This window comes from Homo sapiens, chromosome 10, assembly GCF_000001405.40.
Source record: "Homo sapiens chromosome 10, GRCh38.p14 Primary Assembly".
Classification (NCBI taxonomy): Eukaryota; Metazoa; Chordata; class Mammalia; order Primates; family Hominidae; genus Homo; species Homo sapiens.
Genome location: NC_000010.11, coordinates 100,862,428 through 100,885,344, shown reverse-complemented (window position 1 = coordinate 100,885,344; position 22,917 = coordinate 100,862,428). Strand labels below are relative to the sequence as shown.

The 22,917-nt window shown below is 53.2% G+C and overlaps 2 annotated features.

Moving 5' to 3' along the window:
* Positions 10,657–11,323: an enhancer, noted in NCBI's record as "H3K4me1 hESC enhancer chr10:102633779-102634445 (GRCh37/hg19 assembly coordinates)". NCBI's record gives its function as "activates a minimal SCP1, AML or CMV promoter by ChIP-STARR-seq in naive H9 embryonic stem cells {active_cell/tissue: H9 hESC(naive)}" and the evidence as "EXISTENCE:reporter gene assay evidence [ECO:0000049][PMID:30033119]".
* Positions 12,798–12,867: a silencer, noted in NCBI's record as "silent region_2709". NCBI's record gives its function as "represses an Ori minimal core promoter by ATAC-STARR-seq in GM12878 lymphoblastoid cells {active_cell/tissue: GM12878}" and the evidence as "EXISTENCE:reporter gene assay evidence [ECO:0000049][PMID:35858748]".

Here is a 22,917-nt window from a genome sequence, read left to right as displayed (position 1 = left end):
GAGACCAACCTGGGCAATGTGGCAAAACTCCATCTCTACCAAAAACTACAAAAAAGTTAGCAAGACATGATGGCACGCGCCTATAACCCTAGCTACTCGGGAGGCTGAGGTGGGAGAATCACCTGAGCCAGGGATCTTGAGGCTGCAGTGAGCCATGATGGCATCACCACACTCCAGCCTAGGTGACCAAGCGAGATCTTGTCTCAAAAGAAAAAAAAATGTAAGACAGTGTCTCTCTCCTAGAAACAGTTGTTTCCAGGTGCGAATGAAAGCCAGAATGATCTTGCCTTTTTTTTTTTTTTTTTTTTTTTTTTTTTTTTTTTTTTTTTGAGACAGAGTCTCACTCTGTCGACAGGCTGGAGTGCAGTGGCACGATCTTGGCTCACTGCAACCTCTGCCTCCCGGGTTCAAGCGATTCTCCTGCCTCAGCCTCCTGAGTAGCTGGAACTATAGGCACATGCCACCATGCCCAGCTAATTTTTGTATTTTTAGTAGAGATGGGTTTTCACCATGTTAGCCAGGATGGTCTCAATCTCTTGACCTCGTGATCCACCCGCCTTGGGCTCCCAAAGTGCTGGGATTACAGGTGTGAGCCAGTACGCCCGGCTGATCTTGCCATTTTAAAAGAGAAGCCAGATACCAGCATGTATGATGAAAAGTCTCAAATTTTACATGTTTTCAATTAATTAAAAAATGTAAAATATTGGATAGGTAAAACACAGTATGGCTTCCCACTGGTTAGGATGGCAGTGGGAAGGCTTTGCCCTCGGCAGGCTCTGGATACAGTGTTCTTGTTTTTGTGGCCACCCCCTTCCCCACCCCAAGGGCTGGGCCTTCCTACTGTCTTCTTGGTTGGCCTCTCAAGGTAACTACGTGAGCCTTCTCCTCTCCTGCAGACATGTTGGGCCAGTTAAAGGTTATTCTGTAGAAATCTCAACCAACAAGTCAAAAGATGAGTTTCCTGCTCTTAATAGATAATTTTTATTGGTTTTGCAATAAACGTATGAAATAGAAACAATAGCAATAAACCAGCTCAACAAGAAATCGAAAGGCGCAGGCCCCCAAAGCCCTTCCCGCCTCTTGTTAATGAGTCTCTAATTTATAGACCGGCTTGCAGGCCCACTTTTCTTTTGCCAAGCTTTGCAAACTTTTCCATCTTGGAGGCCCAGGTACTCTGGGGGCTTCTGTGCTCATTTCCACATAGTGGTTGTAATGGAAGTGGTTGTCATGCCAGAAGTGGTGGGGTGGCACTGCCTTGGGGTTTGGGGCCTGAGCCCAACCTTGTCTCCTTAAGGGGACTTGAGGGTCTGTCCCCTTTGATTTTGTTTATCAATGGAGGGCAGAAAAGGAGAGTGACCAGGATAAAAACTCATGCTGAAATGGCCGAGGGCTGTAAGTTTAAATTTTGGAGAGCACAGAGGCCAGGGAGTGGGCACAAAAAGCATGCAGAGGCTGAGGGAAGGGGTTGCATCTTCTACACCCTTGAACTTCGTCTTTTGGAATGTGCAGACTATTTTTAGTTTGTGGTGCTGGGCCTTTTCTCAGGATCCAAATCGGCGTGCCCCACGCCTGCTAAGGGAGGTAGGGTGGGTGGGGGGCGATCCTGGTGTCACTGTAGACACTGATGAGACCTTGCAGCTGTTCTCAGTGGCAATTCAAGCAAGCTGGAGGCCCAGGGTCCCTGCCAGCGGGTGTTTACTTGCCGGGTTACTGGCAGTGTCAGATGAATGATAGCTAAAGTCAGAAGGGCTCAGTGCTCCATTTGAACATTTCCCCTGGGGCCTGTAGCCCAAAGAACAGGTTATCTGTGTTCCTGATCACGCCTCAAAGAAAGTGCAGGCCTCCTCCGGGCTCATGCTCTAACCGTGAGAGTGAGAAAAGAGGACCAAGCGGGGTTTCCGCGTCCACCTCTCCAGGGATTGGATGACCCAGAGTTTGGACGGGTGGCAACAACCCCGGCAGCCCATGGCAGGAGCCCCCAGAGGGCATTCACTTGGGATGCTGATGCTCTCATCCCTGGGGCCAGGTTGGCACTCCAACACCCCCCTTCTCACCCCTTCTGGCCATGCCCAGTGAGGGCAGAGCTGTGGGCCCATCTCTTCTAGAAATTCACAGCAGTGCCTCAGCTCTCTGTGGCTCTTCTCCTCACCCCATCTCCCCACTGCCCAGTGAGCTTGGGGGAAAAGACCGCTGACTTTGCAACCCACAGCCCCTGAAAGTCCCCTTCGATAGCATGCTGTTATGCTTCGAGGACACAGGACTGTGAACTCGAAATTGTCTCGCCTTTGTCACCTCCTGGCAGGTCTTTAGAGCTCGGGGAAACAGCCGAGTGGTACAAATCGCAGCGGCGTGGTAAAGCCCCCCTAATTCCCGATGGGCTGCCTGACTCATATCCGTTTCCCTGGCAAAAAATAAGTTTTTGTTATTGCTGGCTTGGCAGAAGCACGGAAGAGTGCGCGAGGATCTACTGCCCCATGCATCACTGGCCAAATTGCCTGAGAAATCCCAGCTCTAGAACTTTTCATCGTTGGCTGTGATGTACGGAGCAGAACGGCAGCTCCATTTCCCCCGCGTGGGGCTCAGCGACGCTGGCGCTTAGCAGACCTTCTCTGCTTGCAATTCACAGCAAATGTGGCCTCTCCTTTCTCTTCCCCTCTTCTTGGCCTCTTATCCCCCCAACAACCTTTATCTTTCCCATCCCCCCGTCTGCTCATCAACCCCCTCCCTGCTCTCCCCAGCAGAGCCATAGCTGGAGAATCAGGAGGAGGCCTGCAATGTCATTTCCCCATCACTCTGCAGACGATTCCACACTAATGTTCTTTTAATGCTGTGATGCTGCACTAATTAATAAGCATCCTGCACAGAGGCCTCGCCTCTCCTCTCCTCCCCTCTCCTCCTCTTCCCTCACTGCCCCTCCCCACCAGCCCCCCGAGAAGGCCTCGTCACATCCTGGCATCTGGCAGCAGAGAAAGGATTTCACTCTTGTACCTGGGCTGCCTGATATTGCTATGAGAGATAACTGTATACGAACCAATAATCTAGCCTGACAATCCAATTTACTGACCAATAGCGCACAATCCACCATGTCATCGGCTGTGGGGAGGCCCATAAATTAGTTCCTAGTAATTTATTCTGATCAATAGAATGGGCAAAGTCACTTGTCTCTTTAATCAAAGGCCCTCTCAGAGATGTCAGTGCAGGCAGCTGCGTGGGAGGGAGCAGGGCTCTGTGAGCAACAAGGCAGTGGGTGCTAGCACCACACTCCTGCCCTGGCTTCCAGAACCCAGAAGCCTCCCCAGAATGGGGCTAGTGTGGGAGGGGCCCAAGGTCCAGGCTGCCTATGCTTCCCTTGGTCACCCCAACCATAAAACATTGGCTTTCAAACAAGCTAAGGACAGAAGAGGCCATGACAGTAATTAACAAGAGATAAGCTCCAGGGAACACTGTACAGGGCCCCAACAATGTCTGATTTTTTCTGAATGTTCAGAATCTTCCTTCCTCTCCTGGTCACGGGGCCCTACCAACGCTTGTGCTGATGCTTCTATAAAGAGAAGGATCCTAGCCCCGTGGGTAAGAGCCAGACTGCCTGGCTTTGAATGGTGACTCTGCCATTAGCTACGTGGCCTCAGGCAAGCTTCTTGCCTTTCTGTGATTCACTTTCCTCATCTGTAAAGTGGAACTAATAACAGTACCTACCTCAGGGTTATTAAGAAGATTTAGTAAATTAATTATATGATATATAATAAGTTAATATAAAATTAAACTAATAAATGAATATACAAAGTGCTTAGAATAGTGCCTGACATGCAGCAAGCACTATATTGAGTGTTTGTTAACATAAACAAACAGAGATCAAGGGAAAACATTGATGTGCTTCTCTCTGAAGATGTGCCAAGTCCTTGAGATGGTCTTCCTGACAACTTTGACTGTTTCCTACCCGTCTTCACCTCTTGTCCTCCTTGTCCAAAATAAATAGATAAAGGAAGAGTGTGTTGATGTTAGCTCTTTGAAGTGACAGGGAAACTCCAAAGGCCGCCGTGCAAGGTTTTCCCCTTATCTGGGCCCTCTGGCAGAGCCAGTGTGTCAGCCTTGGGGAAACAGACCGATTTTGCTTTAGAGAAAATAGGCCTGATGTTAGACAGCAGGGAGGGAAAGGAAGGTCTGTTACCTGTGCTGGCTGCAGGGACTGGCTTGTGAGGAAGGAGGCAGAGCTTGCTGACATGAGCAGGACACAGGAAGATGCTGGGCAGGGCGCCATAAAGGGCAGTGGTGCAAGGGTCTGTCACCTTGGATTCCCATCCTGGCTCTGCCACTCACTGGCTGTGGGACTTTGGCCAAGTCACTTCAGGTCTCTGACCCTGATTCTGTATTGAGGCAGGAAGGGGTTTCACAGAGTGATCTCAGAAGTCCCTTCGCGGCCAGGCATGGTGGCTCACACCTGTAATCCCAGCACTTTGGGAGGCTGAGGAGGGTGGATCACGAGGTCAGGAGTTTAAGATAAGCCTGGGCAAGATGGTGAAACCCCGTCTCTACTAAAAATATAAAAATTAGCCAGACGTGGCCTGGGCGACAGAACGAGGCACGATCTAAAAAAAAAAAAAAAAAATTAGCCAGGCATGGTGGTGGGCATCTGTAATCCCAGCTATTCTGGGGGGCAGAGGTTGCAGTGGGTCGAGATTGCACATTGCACTCCAGCCTGGGCGACAAGAGCTAAACTCCATCTCAGGGGGGAAAAAAAAGAAGTCTCTTCAGGCTCTGACGCTCTGAAATTCTGTATGAATCAGTGAAGGAGTCTGTTGGCTTTTTCTTGATCCCCCTCAACCCTGTACTCCCCACAATAATCATCTGAAAGACTCTGAAACCAAGTTAGTAGCCCAGAGAAATCTGCAGTGTCTCAGGAATATTACAGTCACTAAACGGAACTAATGTTATTTGCAGAACAGGGATGGGGTGAGAGCCAACTCATTCGGGATTGGGATTCCTGAACCCCTGGCCCCCAACTGTAACTAGGTTCCTGGATGTGCAAAGGGCCAGGGGTCTCTGTTCTGCCTTCAAGGTCAAAACCAGGACTTCTGATTCTTGGGAACCTTGGAGGCCTCTTTGTTCAATCATTAGCCCTTAGGGCTACCTCATGGCAGGGAAGCCCATGCTAAAGGCAAACACTCACTGAGGCGCAGAGGGGAAACTGAGCCAAAATCACGCCCAAAACTTAAGACTCCAGTGACTGTCCTTGGATCCTATCCTGGCCTCCTGTTCCCCCATAACAGCCCTGGTGTGTCTATCAGAGGTGAGCTGGACGGCTGGGGTGCAGCGGTCATCGGGGTGATGGGACCAGGTTGGAGGCCTGAGGCCAGCCCAGGGTGGCTACATGGCAGGTGGACACAGTTTCTAGTGAGCAGGAATCTGGCACCCTCTGCTGACCCCGCGGCAGGAGACAGCTGGTCAACCAGGCTAGGCTGCAGCCACCAGGAGGGGGAGGGGTGGGGTCCAGGACCAAGAGGCAGCTTCCAGTCAAAAGAGCAACTTCCCTTTCGGAATAGATCATTTTTACTGGTTTTGCAATAAGCTTATGAGACAGGAACAATAGCAATAAACAAACCGAACAAGAAATCGAAAAGATGGACCCCGAAAGCTGTTACTGAGCCCTTCTCACCTTCTCTTAACGAGTCTCTAATTTATAACAAACTCATCAACCCAGCACCTCCAGGGTTCCCTGGTTCCAGGTTGGGAACCCCTGGCCTCTGCCTTGTGTGTGACTTGTCATCTCCAGGGTCCTAAGACCTGGCTCCAGAGGTGGCAGGAGGCTCTGGCTAGTAGGAGGAACTGGCCCAGGGTTGTCCAGGGACTTCCATCATGGCTTCCTCTGGGAGGATCTGCAAAGTGTGGTCCTCCCCTGCCATGCACCCCCCACCCCTGCCCAGTAGGTCTCTCCAGAATCAATGGGGCTGGCTCTGGATGGCCCACTTCCCCAAAACTTCTGCTCCAACCCTCTGCCCAGCCCCAGGCTGCTGATGCAGGCATGGAAATCATGTTCCTTTCAGACTACCAGATTAGGGCTTGGCATGGGAAGCTGAGATAGCTGGGGGCTTCCAAGCCCCCAAATTCCATACTCCTCGGATAGGACTGAGGTCACTGCTGTGGGCTGAGGTTTTTCTCTCCTTAAGATGAGAAGATCCATTAGGGCAGAGCCATGTCTCTCCCCTTCCCCTCTTCCCCTAAAGCTAAGGCTGTCTGTGAGGAGGGCCAAATGCCTCCCATCAGACTGGGCTTCCAGGAGGCCAGGGCTGAGTCTCTTCCTTCACCTGGAGATCCCTGGGGAAAGGCTGTGTCGCCTCCCTAGACTGCAGTCCCCTGGGCCTGGGCCATGTTTCCTTACCTTAGACTGAGGCTGTGGGAATGTGGGACTACATTTCTACCACAGGCTGCAGCTCCCTTAAGCATCCATTTTTTTTCCAGTCCCTTTTGTCACCCAGTAACCCTGAAGCTTTTCCCAAGGTAGCCCCCTGTATTCTACCTGTCCGCGCTGGAGGAACAAGTCAGCCCCTGTGCCTTTCCTGGCAGCTGGGCATAGGACAGGGCATCAGGGATGGGAAGCAGTGTTCTGCCAACGACTTTCTGGGTTGGGCAGGGCTATGCTTCTCTGCAGGGGACTGAGTGTCTCCTTGTGAAGCCTGCAATCATTGGAGATGGCCACAAGATGTCAGCTCGAGGCTGTGGAAATGGCTCCAGTCCTGGGACTGAGCTCAAAAGGAAGGAAATCAGACAGCAGCCTGAAAGGCCCCCTCTGTCCCCCACTCAAACTCACAACAATGCTCCATCTCTCTACTTTGTCCCCAGTTCTTTGCTCCCAGAAGAGTGGGTTCTGAGGCTCCTTGACTTCCAGCTCTGGGAAGGATGGGAGCTGCTGCCCCTATTGCAGGCACCCTTGCTGGGAAGAGCCCTGTGTGCCTGTGTTCCCCTGTGTGTCCTTGTGGGTGTGGCTTCAGGCCACCACAGCCAGTGTGAGTGCTCAGGGCTGCCTGCGTTTGTGTGCAACTCTTGGCAGGAATTTGTGTCTGCCACAATAGACAGAGAAATTCAGACCTGAAAGGGCCCTTCGAAATCTCCCAGTTCAACCTGTTGTTTTATAGATGAGGAAACAGAGGCCCAGAGAGAGAGAGGAAATGGCTTGTCCAAGGCCACACAGCAAGTCCATGTTGAGCTGTTCCTGGAACCCAGGACTCCCACTTTGCAGCATGTGTGTGCACCCATCTGGGAGTCTGGTTGACCAGGACTGTGTGCCTGGTGTACTTTTGTGTTAGTGATTTACATCCAATGGGTCCTGGAAAGTTCCCTGACTGACCATCAGCCTGCAAGTTTCCAAACAGAATCACAAGGAAATGGGAAGAAGGAAGGCATGGAAAGGAAGGAGGGAGAGACAGAGAAGTACATATGCATGTAGATGCACATCTCTTTTTGCTTCACGGGGACGGGGTGTAATGTCAATGGTTGGATGTGTCTGTATCTCCCTAGGTAAGTGTGCCTGTGTCAGATACCTTGATTCATTCTGGTGTTGAGGTTTGAGTTTGTGTACATGCATGTGTACACGTGTGTACAGGGACCCATTTGTGGGACTGCAGGGAGTCGAGGTGTCTTTGGGGAGGCGTTGGTGCTTTTGGCTGGGTACAGTGTGAGCGATGGTGTGTGCCGCGGTTGGCGTGCCTGTCAGTGACTCTGGAGCGAGCATCGGTCAGTGGCCACGTGAGTGACTAAGGGTGTCAGTGAGCATAAAGAAGAGGCTGCTCCCTCTCCTCATCTCTTTGTCCCCAATCAGACTGTCTTCCCATGGCCCCTAAGGTTTCAGTGTCCCTGCCCCAGTAGCAGTGAAGAAATCCTTTATCGGTTGAGGCACCAGCCCCCGTGTCGGGATTTCAAGGTTCCTGTCGGTTCCATCCATCTTCCGGGGCCTCCTGGTATTAGCATTGATCTACAGGGGAAATGGAGAGCGCGGCTGGGTTATTACGCACCCACCCGCCTTCCCTGGGCCGTGATTGAGTGCACACAGAGAATTTTTGAAACATGGCCACCCTAACTTATTCTGTCTTCCTGCCAATAGCGTGGCATGGGTCCAAATTACGGGTCGATACCAGCTGATCTTTTTATGTTAAACTGTGATGAAGTTGCTTCTGTGGGGAGATGGTATTAGGCCCTGGGTCCTCTTTTATTGGAGAACTTTTGGGATGGAAAAGGGAGGGATGGAAGAGTGGGCAAGGGGAGTGGTCAGTCGGGCATCATGGAGGGCAGGTAGTGTGTGCATGGGCCAGGAGCATGTGCATGCCCGCAGGGGAGTCAGAGCTCGCTGCACTGGCCCTGGGATTCCCGGTTCTTGCCTGATTTCTCCCCCTTGTGACCCTTGCCACACTGGGGACCCTCAGGGACCCCCATCAGACTTTCCATCGCTCGGCCAGCCTGCCCCTGGTGAGGCCCCTCCCTACTTCCCTCTAAGGATAGAATTCTGTTTTCCTCTAGCCGCTTCCACCCTTCTCCCCCACCCCCACTCTACACACCTGCACCATCAAACGGGTTTGTCTTTAACCTCCAAACAGGGAACTTTAATTAAAGAGACAGTGACCCCTTTTATGAGTTTGGTCGAGTTGGGTTTCAGGGCCCTTGTCACTAGTGGCTCACATAACCCTAACAAAAGCTTGAAGGCCCCAAGAGGAGCCGGTCTCCCTCGTAGACATTGTGGTGGGGGCACGGGTGGGATGGGGGTGGGGGCATGGAGAAGGGGGAGGCATCCTTGGGTCAGGATCCCCAGTGACTGCATTGGTGAGGTTGAAGGTTGGGGGAGGGGACAGGTGAGGGGTATAGGGAGGGAGCACTGACACTGTGCAGTACCTTTGGAGCGCAACCTCCCTGCATAGGACAGCCGTCTGGACCCCAGCAGTGTAGCGGCTTCTCTCTGCTTGAAATGGTTAAGTTTCCAAGAGGGACTCCTGCGAATGTCCAGGGCTTGAATCCCATTTGCCTATGGACTTGTATTATAAAACTTGAAGTCATCTCCAAGAGGAATAGACTGGATAGAACTCCAAGAAGAGCTGAATTTTTTTACCCACATACTTAAAGGAAAAGTGGTTTTATGATAAAACATAATTGCTAATAACTATAATAACACCATTCAACATCTGGCATGAAACACAAATTCTGTCCTGAACCTGAAGGTGCAAACACCGCACAGCATACACACTGCCAAGAAGGGAGCTGGCCCTCCACATGGAAGAGCTAAATTCAGGCCTCACTGGGCCCCCTGCTGTCCACATTCCCCACCCCCAGCTCCCTTAAGGACCCCAAGTGTAGACGTCTAGTGGGTTCGTGTTGTGAGTTTGAAGGGCCCTTATCTTACATCCAATCACCTCTTGTTGATTTTTAACCAAGGGCTTCTGTAGGTCCTGTAAGGGATGTTTGCTTGCCCTTTGATCTGGTACTTTGATATCCTTTGTGAATTCTTCAGCCTGGAGAGGGCTGCCCAATCTGCCACACTTTTTCATTCAACAAACATCAGGGGCTGTTAAAAACAACCAGTGTGTGATTGGTTATTTCCAAAGGGATGGGTTTTCATGAAGTGGGGTGCACTCCCGTTAACCAGAGGCTGATACATTGTCAGTTATCTGCAAAAGGAATTAGCCACCTAAATGGTAATCCAGGGTTGCTCTGACCAGAAACTAAGGCTCAAACTAGCTAATTTGTGGAGATGAGACTCAAGGCCAAAACTGAATGAAGAAGATTCTCAGCACGCCCTCCACTTCCACTTCCACCATCACCATGGGTTCCTTGCTCCTCCTGGTGACAAGTGTGGTGACTGGATAGGGACACTTAGGTGGAATGTGGGGACACCTGTGGGGAGTCAAATGACCCACAAGGGCATACAGACCAGAACTTGCAACGTCATCACACCCCAGGTCTCCACATTCCCACGCGTGGACCTTCCCTTGTGCACATGCGTTCCCATGTGTGGACCTTCCCCTGTGCACCTGCGGCGTCACCTACCCACGTGAGTGGCCTATGTGTGTGACCTCACCCACAGAGAGAGGTCACAGCCCCTTCCCTCCTCTCTAGGGGAGAGATCTGGAGGCCAGAGGGGCCGGGGAGTAATTGGTTTTGGCGTTTCCTACCTCCGCTGCCCGGGAAGCTTTCTCTGTTTCATCTTCAGCCTGATCAATCCCCAGTCATGTGCCTTTCCACATGGACGCCCCCGACCCCCCAATTCACCATGCTCTCGGAAACTTCGTTAGTGCCATTAATCTGCTGACCCAAGCAAATCACCAACTCTTCCTGCAACACAGCCTCTCAATCCCTCCCCCAGAGACCACCCCCCCAGGATCTCCAGAGCTGGCTCACTCTCCTCTACCTCCTCATGTTCCCACTCACCCTTTTCTGTTTGGTACCCACCCCCAACCCCATCACTCCCAATCTGGGATTCTCCTTCCTCCTCATTCATGTCTGCACACTCAGCGCTTTCTGAGTCTTTTCCTGCATGTGTGTCCCAGCAGGAGCTTAGTCCGTGTCGGCCACCGGCACCCTGAAGCTGAAAGGGTCCCACGCACCTGCTCCTTAGTAGTAGAGGGTGTAGGGTAAGGCTCTGGCCATAGGAACCATATAAGGAGGAAACTAACAGGTACTGAGCCCTTACTGTGTGCCAAGCACTGTGCCAGACCCTTTTACCCAGTTAGATTATTTAATCCTCACAACCCAAGAGGCAGTCATTATTTTCTCCATTTTATAGATGAGGGAAATTGAAGTTTGAGAGATTAATTATTTGCTCATGAGTAGTAGAGCTAAGATTGGGACCCAGATCTGCCTGACTCATAAACCATTTTTTCTGCTGTATAGAAAGGAAGAGCACCCCCATCCTTGAGCCAGGCCCTAAGACCTAGAAACTTCCTATGTGAAGGAGACCCTGACATGAGGTTTGTTTCTCCTTTTTCCTCTGTAATAGCTAGGTCTTGAGGTGTGTGTGTGTGTGTGTGTGTGTGTGTGTGTTCCTATCCTCTTCCTTTCAGCCTAGGAAGCATTCATGGTACCAGCCCCCTGTTGGGGGCCCCAGGTTGCAGGCTGGTGCCAGGATGCACCCCACTCAGCCGGCTCCTGGCCGCACAGGAGAAGGCCCTGTTTCCTCCGTGGCCTCCATGGCTGATGTGCTGGGCCCATTGTCCAGGCAGAAACAAAGACTGCGGATTTAAGCCGAGTGACCAGGCGGCTCTGCCAAGCAGAAAAGACCGCCCCCCTCGAAGCTGGGCCCAGCCGGGGGTTAGGAAGGGGACCCGAGAGAAAGGGGACAGGGAACCTTTGAAAGTAACTAATTAAAGGGCCTTTGCCTGCCCCCTCCCCCTGGGCGCCTAATCTCTCTGGGGCAGCAGCCAGACAATGTGCCCCTCCACCCTGCCCCCCTCACCCGAGTTTTAAAACAAGAGACAACTTGAAGTTAATGAGCGCCACCTGACGGGGGTCCCCTAATGAGAGGGGGCTGCTGGGCAGCTCACACATTCTCTGGTTCCATGAATAGCTCCCCCCGCCCCCTGAGTTTTATTCATCTAGGGCCAGGGGCAGGGGGCAGAAAGGAAGGGGCCCTGCTCAGCTCGGAGCATGTGGACTGTGGTTCAGGGCAAGGAGGGGGCCCCACAACCCCCTCCCCCATGGCCCATGCCCAGCTCTGAGGCTGAGGCTTACCAGGCTTTGGCCTGAGACCTGGGTGGCCCAAGACCCATCTGGGTAGCTCAGGGCCAGCCCTGCTGCATAGGCTCTTGGTCACTGGCATTGCCACTGGCTTTTCCCAACAGGGCAGTGAGGCGTAAGAGGCATTCTTTGGGACTGCTGTACTTGGTGGTGGGGACTGGGGTCAGGAGTCATTTGGGAGCTGGACTGAAAGCCTCGCTTGCATATTTGGGCAGTTTCCACCATCTCTGCCTCATCCATCTAACTCCGAAGTCCTGGTCTTATCTCTGATTCCTCCATCTCTGATCCCTGCCTGGCTGCCATCCCTGAAGCCCTCATTTCCTGCTTCCCTAGATCTGTTCTCCATCTCTCACCCTTCCTTGCCCCCAACAGTTGTTCCTCTCCCAGACTTAGCACCTTTTGCTCCCAGAGTGGGCGGGCAGTTTGTAAACCTCAGGAGACAGGCCCAGCCTCCTTGACGGGGTGTGTGGGTCCTGCTGCTGTGAGTGTGGAACAGCCTGGGGAGTGAACAAGTGTGCAGAACTTTGGGGAAGATGGGAAAATTGTGAATGACTCCAACTCTCTGCCCTCGAACTTCTTCTGCCCCAAATAACTATCCTTAAACCCACTGCCCATCCCTGTTCCCCATCCCAACCTGCACTGTAGCCCGCAATGAGACGTAGAGAACCAAAGACCCTGACTTCTGATAAATCAGAGAAACGGGAACCCAGGGCAGCCTGGTCTTTGCTTTGAGACGAGGAGACAACCAGCAGGCCTCCTCATAGTGACACCACAGAATTCCCCCTACTACCCCAAAAAGGCAGGAGCTGTCGGGGTAGCATTTGAAAGGCCTGAGGTGGAGGTGAGACAGGAACCAGACAGCCTGGGGGTCTCCAGCCAGCAGGGAGCCATGGACAGAGGTGACTAATTTCCCAACTACTCATGGTGAAAATATCACATTTCATGCTTTGTTGCCGATTCATAGAAAAATCCTATTAAAACCCAGTAGATTATTTATACAGTTTAAACAAATGATGATCAAAGATTTTACATGTTTTTAAAAGAACCCAGAGTTATGCAGCCTGGCTGGGGCTTAGGCAGAGTGTGGTGGATAAATGTGTGGTGTGTGTGGATGTCTTACTAGGGGAGGGTTAGGGGTAAGATTAGCTGGGCAGGCTTGGATGGGGAAGTGGTTACAGTCGTCTTTCCAGCAGGGGGCGACCTCTCCCCGGTGTTGACACCCCCTCCCAACACCCGATGAGAGCCCCACAGATGGGCAATGATTTCATGTCCCTTTTTGTCTGGTCATCCTCCCTTATAGCTCCTGGACCTGATTCAAACTGCCCAAAAGTGTAGCTGTGCGGGATTGGCGATTTAGAGACCATGATTGTGTGGGACTGGGGCTTTGCAAGTGAATGTGCATGATGCAAGCACCATGTGCGGCTGTGTGTCCAAGTCTGGCATCTGTGTATGGGGTCAGTGTGGTGCCCGTGAACCGGGCAGTGCATGTGGTGTGTCTCTCTTGTCCGCCTCTGTGATTTACCTTCCTCTTAGTCCCAGGCTGAAGGTCTCTCCATCCTACAATAACCCTGGCCTGTTGTTCCTATTACACATTCACATGCACAGGTCGCACCTGCTCAGAGAGATGCTTTTTGAGAGGCAGTTCCCAGTGGCTTAGCTTGGATGGTGGGCAGTGATAGATGAGTGGAAGAGGTAAGGGCCCCTTTGAACAAGCTTTGGGGAACCCCAGCCTGGGAAGAATTGTTACCCTACCCAACCTCTGAAGGACCCATGGGAACCCCCTGAATCTGCCTAATCCCACCTGCCTTGGGGTTGTAGCTCCCCATCATGCATCCAAACCCTCCAATGCAGGAACCTCCAGGACTATGCATGGCCTGTCCTGGGGGACCCTAGTTAGGCCCCTCAGAATGTTTCTGACCAGAAATTGAACTAGGCCCTGGCCTGGCCCCTGACACCAGAACACGTATTGGGGGTGCAGGGTACATTCCCTTTCAGAACAAGCTGCCTGCCCCCAGGGTCACTCCATCACAGGCTGAGGCCCTGCAGCAGGACCCCCCATCTTGAAGAGAGGTGTGCTAAGTGATTGCGATCCCAAGGTGGAGGTCAGCCTAGAGTCTTGTTGCCCTTGTCGTGAGAACTTGGAGCCTAGTTCAGCTCCAGGAGTTGGATGAGGGCCGGAGGGAGGGTGGATGAGCTGATGCCTGGGGCAGGGACAGAACAGCCCTGCATCCTGCACCCAATGCTGCCTGTGCCTGCCCACCAGGCCGTCCTGCCTCAGCAGTTTTATTACTCACAGGGAGATAAGGCCCTGGGGGGAGGCAGCTTGTTCTGAAAGGGAATGTTCCCTGCACGCCATACGCGTTCCAGCCTCAGGGGCCAGGCAAGGGCCTAGTTCAATTTCTGGTCAGATGGATCCTGAGGGGGCTAAACTAGGGTCCCCCTGGGCAGGCCATGGATAGTCCTGGAGGTTCCTGCATCAGAGGGTTTGGAAGGGGCCTGGCAGGGGGAGAAGAGGCAGAGTTAAGGGGAAGTGTGGTTCCTCCCTTGAAGGGAGGAGGAGCTAGAAACAGCAGGATATGGGGGCATCTGCCTCCTTGGAGAACCCCCCAGCTGGCACAGGGGAGAGCAGGAATCATGGAGGGCACCTCGCCTGGCGTGAGTGCTCAGGGCTGCTGATGCGCCTAGGGGACACGAAGTTTCTTCACCGCTTGGTTTGCTTATGTGTTTATTGCTCCTTCCGCAAAGCTGGCTGCAACAGTGACAGGAGTGCCCAGGGCCTGTGCAGCTAGCTAAGGAGCGAGACCCAGCCTTGGTATATTTAACCATCTCATCATGGAGACCCTGGCCTATTTGTTTTCTTCCCTGACTCTCTCTTTTCTTCTTTCTTTCTTTCTTTTTTTTTTTTTTTGAAACAAAACAGGCCACATTTGGGAGCCTAGAATATCAGCGAGTAGAACAATCGCTTGTGACTGCCGCATCCATCACAGGCTGAGGTCCTGCAGCAGCCCGGCCTGGAGGAGCCGCCACCGGCCCCGCTGCCTTCACCATAGCCCGCACTTTATTAGAATTTATACGTTGCCCCGATTGAGGGGGAAAATAATTAACACCCCTACAAATATATCGTAAACAAAATATTTATTAGAAATAAATAACTCATTTATTTTACATATTTCATTTCAACAATAACATTACCCAATTTATCATTTAACATTTTTGCAAGACAATTTAACGACTACTTATTAGCATTTCCATTTTTCAACCGCGCACCATAAAGCACAGGCGCTCCCCAAATGGCCTGGCACAGGCCGAGCCAGGGGCTCAGAAGACCCTGGGGAGGGCTGTGGACCCCCTGGATCTCTCTCTCTCTCTCTCTCTCTTTCTCTCTCTCTCTTTTTCATTGAGATGGAGTCTCGCTCTGTCGCCCAGGCTGGAGTGCAGTGGCACGATCTCGGCTTGCTGCAACCTCTGCCTTCTGGGTTCAAGCGATTCTCCTGCCTCAGCCTCCTGAGCAGCTGGGACTACGTGTGAGTGCCATCATGCGCAGCTAATTTTTGTATTTTTAGTAGAGACGGGGTTTCACCATATTGGCCAGGCTGGTCATGAACTCCTGACCTCAGGTGATCCACCTGCCTCGGCCTCCCAAAGTGCTGAGATTACAGGCGTGAGCCACCACCGTGCCCGGCCCCCTCTCTCTTATATACCCAAAAGTATGCAGGACAGACAGCCCACAACAAATACATGCAGTCACCTTCGACCATAGACATCCTCGCCTCACATAAACTATAGAGCTGCTCTCCCCAGAGCAGACACCTCCAGAAGACACATATAAGTATACGATTGACACCCCAGTGTTCATGCTCATGTGGACCCCATTATCACCCCCCTACACACATGCATGCACACACACTCACATTCCTAGTGGCCCACACCCAATTGCACACAGACGCAGTCACTGGCTGTGCACTTATGCCAACCTCAGTTCTCACATAAGTGGGTAATGGAGAGAAGGGCAGTGCGGTCTCTTCCCTCTAGCTCCACAGGGGTGGGGTGGGGCATGGACGAGAAGCCCAAGTGCAGGATGTGAGTCCCCTTCAGTCCCCACCTGTGGCCCTTGGGCTTCCCTCTATGTCCCTCTTCTGTTTTCCCCTGCTCAGCAAGGATTTCCTGGGATCATGTGCCCATTTTTACTTCAAACTTCTGCCCCAGGGAGGTCATCCTGAAGGCTGGGTCTCTCCAGTGCCCAACCCCAAGTATATTCTCTGGGAAGGAAGTGTGTAAGAACCAGGCCTCAGCTGCTTGGGTTCTGGGCTGTGAATCCAGGGCTGGGGCTCTGGGCTACAAACGAGAGGTTAGAATCTGGGTGAAGTAAGGTTAAACACCTGCTGATATTTGGTGCATTTGCGTGTCTCTTCTTCACCCAGCGTCAAGGCCCAGCCTAGCTCCTCTGCCTGCTTCTTTCTGTGGGCAGAGAGAAGGCAGCAGGGAGAGTCAGTATCCCAAGTGACAGACGAAGCTGGAAGACGCTTCTCCATCCTCCTGCCCTCTAGTTCTGACCTGGTGCCTGGTGGAGGTGGAGGGTGTCCCTAAATGCTCATGGAATCAAACTGAAGCCCCCACCCCACCCTCCTCTCAATCCCTAAACAGTACTCATTTCTGTGTGTGTCTGTGTGAAGACACGGGCTGAGGGAACAGATGGGTATGCAGCCCTCAAGGACACACAAGGGTACACATATGTGCATGCGTGTGTGCCACTCAGTGTGCATTCTGCCCAGGCTGCCTCACTGCCTCACCCCCAGCACCAGTCACAACGTCTGGGAGATTTGGGTCCATTTTGAGGTGTTGGAGGGCCAGGGCTGAGATGTTCCCCCGAGTGCATAGCCTTTCTGCCCTCTCTCTGGGAGGTGAAGGTGGGAGACTGGTGCCTGGGTTGGGGGGGGTGGCTGGGGCCCAGGAGACAGAGCAGGGAGGCCCTTCAGAGTCATCTAGCCAGGGGATGGGGGCAGGGCCCAGGGCGAGCACACACAATGGCTGGAGGTTGGAGGGTCTGAAACTGGAGACTTTAATAAAAGCCACTGACAGCAAATAAAGCTGCCAGGGGAGTCCCATTACCCACAACAAGGACCCTTTGTGAGCTAAGCAGGACTGAACTGACCCTTCTCCACCAGCCTGGCCCCATACCCACCCACCCAGGCCCCGTCTCCCTGCAGGCTCCACAGTCCCCATCCCCAGCCCAACCCAGTCCAGCTCAGGGGCTTGCCAATGCTGAGGGGATCGGGCTGGGGGATGCTCCACAGCCTGCAGGTCTTTCTCTACACCTACCCCAGTCTCCCTGGTTTCCAGTGCCACTGGCATTTGGTTGTTTAGTGCCCTTCACAAGTGTTCAGTAACTCCACTGCAGGATTACCTTTGGTTAAATAAGTGGGAAACTGATCCCTGCTGTGGGATCCACTCACCCTGGTCCAGTTGTGGGGCAGGGGACTGATAGCGAAGATCGGCCTGGTCCTGATATGGACCCTGGTATGGGCCTTAACCCTAAGACGGCCCCTTTCCTCTCCAGAGACCAATGCTGACCCCGGTACTGTGGTATATCAGAAAGACTTCTGCACTTCGGGTCCGGCAGAGCTGGGTGGAGTCCTGGAGCTGCCCCTTACCAATCGTTTGACCTTGGACAAATCATTTCTCCTCACTGAGCCCGTTTCCTCATCTTTTCAATGGAGCTGGTTTATTTATTTATTTGCTTATTTTTAATTTCTTGGGATTTTTAGACAGGGTCTTGCACTGTTGCCCAGCCTGGAGTGCAGTGGAGTGATCACGGCTCACTGCAGCTTTGACCTCCTGGACCGAAGTGATCCTCCCACCTAAGCCTCCCGAGTAGGTAGGACTATGCCCAGCTAATTTAGTATTTTTTGTAGAGATGGGGTCTCCCTATGTTGCCCAGGCTGGTCTTGAACTCATGGGCTCAAGTGATCCTCCTGTCTCGGCCTCCCAAAGTGCTAGGATTATAGGTGTGAGCCACCATGCCTGGCCCAGTGGGGCTGATTTAAAAGAGTTCCTCTCTGAAGGTTAGGATTAATGACCTAATAGATGTAACACATAAACTTTAAGGCGCCCCACAAATGAGGGTTGTTATAATCACTCACTTCAGCCCCACTTTGAAACCAGATTGTAAGTTGAACTTTGATCTCCACGCAGGTTCTGAGTCTTGCTCTGATTCCCAACCAGACAATGATATTGTTAGGGGCACAGGAAGCTCAATGAACGGCTGTTAAATGAAAAATTGAAGAAAGGGATGGAAGACATTCTAACCCCTGACCTCAGCTAGGAAGCCCACTGATTGCTGGAGGATCTGGGGGAGCCAGGCAGGGAATGGAGAAAGCTAGGGGTCAGAGCACAGGCCTGGAGTTTGGGGACACTTGGAGGAATGGGGGAAAGTGGATTCAGGGCAGTCGGGGTGCTCTGAAGCAGAGTTGGGGGTGCTCAAAGGGCAAGTTCTCTGAGGTTGGGTGCTGAGGAAGGAGGTAGAAAGGGGGCAACCCATGGGGCTTGGGGTTGCTGCTTTAAGGGCAAGGTGGGGCCTGAGATGGGGGCACCACACAGGGTTACAAGATGGGCGTCCGCTATCACAAGTCCCTCCTTGGTCCGGCAGGAGGGGATTCTGGTGCAGGGCGGGGAGGGAGATTAGGAGGCGCTCTCAATTGCCTTAATGGGCTCTAAGAGGCGGGATCCTATTACAGCTCGGGGTGCCCCGGGGTGCCTTGCTGGGAAGACAAGCTAATCTGCCATGCAAATTAAATCCTGCCTCAAGACGCAAAGCCTGCTTAATGTGATCCATTACACAGTTTACTTGTTTATATCTAATATTGGAACAGGCAGCCCGGGCGGGCGGCAGCGGCAGGCGGAGCAGCCCAAAAGCAGGAGAGTAAATTACCAGCAAAATGAGCTTTTCCAGCCTCAGCCGCTGCCACCACCCGTGCCTTCCTGGCTTTCAGCGTCTTGGGCACCCCCTCCCGCCCGCAGCGTCCCCTCACTCTTGCTTCCTCCTCATCGGCCTTCAAGTCTCCGTCTTCTCTTTGTCTTTCTCCTTCTTTTTCTGTCCCTTGGCCGCTGTCTCTGTCTCTGTCTGGTTCCTTGTTTCTTCCTGTCCGTCTTGTCTCAGCCTCATCTCTTGAGGCTATCTGGCTGCTTTTTTCCTCCTCCTGTTTGGATTTCCAGCGCTCACTTTGGGCTTTCCTCTGCAGTGCTTCATCTCTTCCTGCAACAGAGATAGAGACATGTGTCTCTGTGGGTGCCGGGTGGCTGTGTGATGCTGTGTGTGGGGAAGTGGAGGGTAAGCCCAAGCCTGGAGGACACGCTTGTGTACACACTCCTGGGGGAGAACTGCGAGAGGCTGGGCACTGGAATGCCTGACTTGCTGGCAACACTGTCCCTGATGGTGAGGGAGCACACTCAGTGACCTTGAGGTCTTTCTATGGCAAGTGTCATCGAGCCCTGTGCATGGGCATGGATGGGCTCCTGGGACCTGTCTCTCTCTCTCTGTCTCGTGTGTGTGTGTGTGGTAGTGTTTTAATAAATCTTGCAAGAGGTTGCCTGCCGTCTTCCCCATGCACCCTTTGGCTGGGGCGTCCTTCCCTTACGCCGAAGCTTCCCTCACCTTCCTCACACTTCTTCACCCACAGGCCACACTCCTTCCAGCTCCTGGAGCAGCCCCAAGGCTTGCAGTGCCCCAGGGTCACCTGACTGTCCACCATCTGAGTCCCTGTGTGTCATGTTTTGCTCCGCTGTCTTCCTGGCCCACTTCCTCCACCCCACCTCCCACCTCTGTACTCCTCTGTGGAGTCACTATCCCTCTGGCTAGATATCTCTGAGGCCCAAGCCTGTACCTCCAGGAGAGTCAGAGGTCAAAACAGAGCCAGAGACAGGCAGAAAGAGAGTGAGGTGAGAGAGACACACAGAGACCCTCACCATGGAAGAGGGGGTAGACAGGGGAGGTCAGACAGAGAGACCACAGGCGTGGAGACAGACACAGGTCAGGGCCAGGCAGCAGAGAGGCCCAAGAGGGTGGGATGGCCGCGGATCTGTGGCTGGGGGCTCACACTTAAGCTCACAGAGGCCCAGGCCTGGTGTTAAGGGGGCTATTTCAGACTCCAAAGCTGTTTGGGGTTGGAGGGGTATAGGGACGGGGGCTCCCTATCCTCTGGGCTTGATGGGGCACCTGCCCTGTGACCATACTTTGAGGAGGAGACATGAGTGACAATGGCCTAAGCCTCTGGCCCCCTGACCTGTGCCTGTGGTCCTGAGAGGAGCCAGCCCTCCTATCAGGCTCTGAGAGCCTTGGGCCCCCAGGACAAACAGGGGCAGAGGGAGAGAAAGCTCCTACAGCTTTCTGTGATGTGCACAGCTGCAGCTCTTGTGCCTGCCCTGCACACACACTTACACACACGTGCCACGTGCCACGTGCCAGGCTGGAGGCTTGCCAGTGAGGCTCTCCTGGCTCTGGTCCATGGCCCTGTGCTATGGCCCTAGCTACAGTCTTTATGCCTGGGACTCCTGGTTCCCTAACTTCCTGTTCCCCAAGGGTCTTGCCCCCTTTCGGGCCAATGAGCAGTTTTGACCCCCACTCTCCTATTCCTCAGCTCTCTGGGACTACTGGCCCTCTAGTTCCTTGCAGTTCCCAAGAACCCTGGAGCCCCTGGTTCTTCAACTACCTGGCACACGTCTTCTTGTCCCTGACCTCTGGCCCTGGTTGGGGGTGGGGGCTCCTGACGGGTGGAGGGTAGGAGGGAAGGTGTGAGTCTGTATGTCTGTGTGGAACGGGGGCTGTTTAGATAAACAGATGGCAACAAATGGCATAAAATTATATACCCATAATGTCAGTTCATAACATTTTGTTCGACATACTTGATTTAATCGCTTAGCTGACGATTTGGCTTTTGGGCCCATATGGTGGGGAATGAAGCTGCGTGGCACCCGCTCCAATCTGGCTCTTTTATCACCGAGGCTGGGGGGCGGGGATGGGGGGGGTCAGTCGGGGGAGAAGAAGCGACGCAGATGGAAAGAGAATGAGCTGACAGGAGGGGGCCCAGGGAGGGGGTGACGGCAGGGACTGAAGGGGACTGGACCCTGGCAGGGTGGAGGAGGGCATCTGGAGACAGTGTGGGTGGGGCCGAATCATCCAGGATGGACAGGACTGTCCCCAAGGGACCTGAACCCTATGGCTGACCTCACTGGACTCTGCTAGGGCTGTGGCCCAGATCTGCCTCCATGAGCCCAGTGACCTGACACTGTCTTTTTCTCTCTTCAAAACGAAGACCCAGACCCCCAGGGCTATCCCCATCACTCCTGCCAAACTTAACAATTTGTGTGTGCACACATACGTGCATGCGTGTATGCCTGCCTGCTTGTGCGTATGTGCGAGGACGTCTGGGAGACCAAGAGATGCCTTGTGTGATGAGTTCTGTCTGTGCAAATTGCCTGACTTTCACTCTGAGCAACTGGGATGAGGTGAATCAGTGTTGTTGGGCTGAGATTGTTGCGGTGTGACTGAGTGAATGGGTGGTCCTGATGCACCGGGGCGCGCAGTAGGCATTCCAGCAGTGTGCTCAGTACGTGCCTCACAGAGGTTTCTTCTGGGTGTGAATGCTGGACTGGGGAATGACGCGTGTGTGTGTGTGTGTGTGTGTGTGTGTGTGTGTGTGTGTGTGTCCAGGCCCATCAGCGGACTCACCCTGCACTCTCTGCAAACAAGTCAAGCCCTGTGCAGAGTGCCCCCTCTTAGTTCTCTGGCTGTGGTCCCCAATCGCCATTCACCTGGCCTCTGCTGGGCACTCAGAGAAAAGTCTGGCTCTTCCCCACAGAGATCTCCCTGCTTCCCCATCGCCAGTCCAGCCTGCTTACACCCTGCCCACCCCTCCTCCTGGTCTCAGAACTGCGCCAGCCCCCACAATTGTGGCAAATCTGGGCCTAAATCGGCACCCATCACTCATGTCGGAGTCTCATCTGCCCCCGGCAGGGTGCCACCCGCTGGCTCCAGAAAGGGTGGGGAGCTGGCCCAGGATGGGGGCTGGCACCTGCAGAGGGTTGGGAACCTGCTGTCCTCTCCCCAATCCCCAGGACCCTGTCCCCCAACCCCAGCGTGGGCTTTGTGTGCATGGAGGCTCCTGGGCTGTGCTGGGGGCCTTGTCACCCATCTGCCCTTCTGGAGTCTCTGCCACTGTCTCCCTGTGTCTTCATAAGAGCCTCCTTCCCTCTGTCACTCGTCCTGTCTCTGCCTTTCTCCCACATCTCTGCTTCTCCCTCCCACTGCTTTTCTCTCCTTGCACCTCTGAGGATCTCTGAAGGTGGAGACCAGGATTGGGCTGGGGCTGGGGACCTATGCCAGCCCTCTCCACGTGGGAAGTTCTATTACCATCTTCCCCAATCCAGTGGGATCCTTCAGGAATGTTACCGGGCCTTGTGGCAGGGCTGACCCTGCTGGCTGCTCTCTACCTCCTGCAGATTGTGCCCTCAACACTCTGACTCCCATGGGATGTTGTGGTGTTTTTTTTGTTTGTTTGTTTTTGAGATGGAGTCTTGCTCTGTCACCCAGGCTGGAGTGCAATGGTGCCATCTCGGCTCACTGCAACCTCCACCTCCTGGGTTCAAGCGATTCTCCTGCCTCCACCTCCCAAGTAGCTGGGATTACAGGTGCCCACCACCATGCCCAGCTAAGTTTTTGAATTTTTGGTAGAGATGGGGTTTCACCGTGTAGGCCAGGCTGGTCTCAAACTCCTGACCTCAGGTGATCTGCCCACCTCGGCCTCCCAAATTGTTGGGATTGTAGGTATGAGCCACCGCACCTGGCCCAATGCTGTGGTTTGACTAAACTCTCAGCTCTCTCAGGCCGCTTGGCCATTCACTTGTTCAACAATCATGGGGCAAATCTGATGTGCCTGACACTGTGCCAGCCAAGATCAGGAGGACACCCATTTGCCCTGCCCTCCAGGGCCTCACCCTGTAAGGGAGACAAATATGCAAACACATCAGGCTGCTGGTGTTCCAGCAGGTGGAAGAGAGGTCCCAATGAGGCCCAACGGAAGGGGAATTCTGTGGGTAGGGATATGGAAGCCTGAGGAGAAGCTTTAGAGAGAAGGGGGTTCTCAGCTATATTAAAACATTTTCTTTCTCTAGTTACAAAAATAATATTTGCTCCATGCAGAATACATAGAA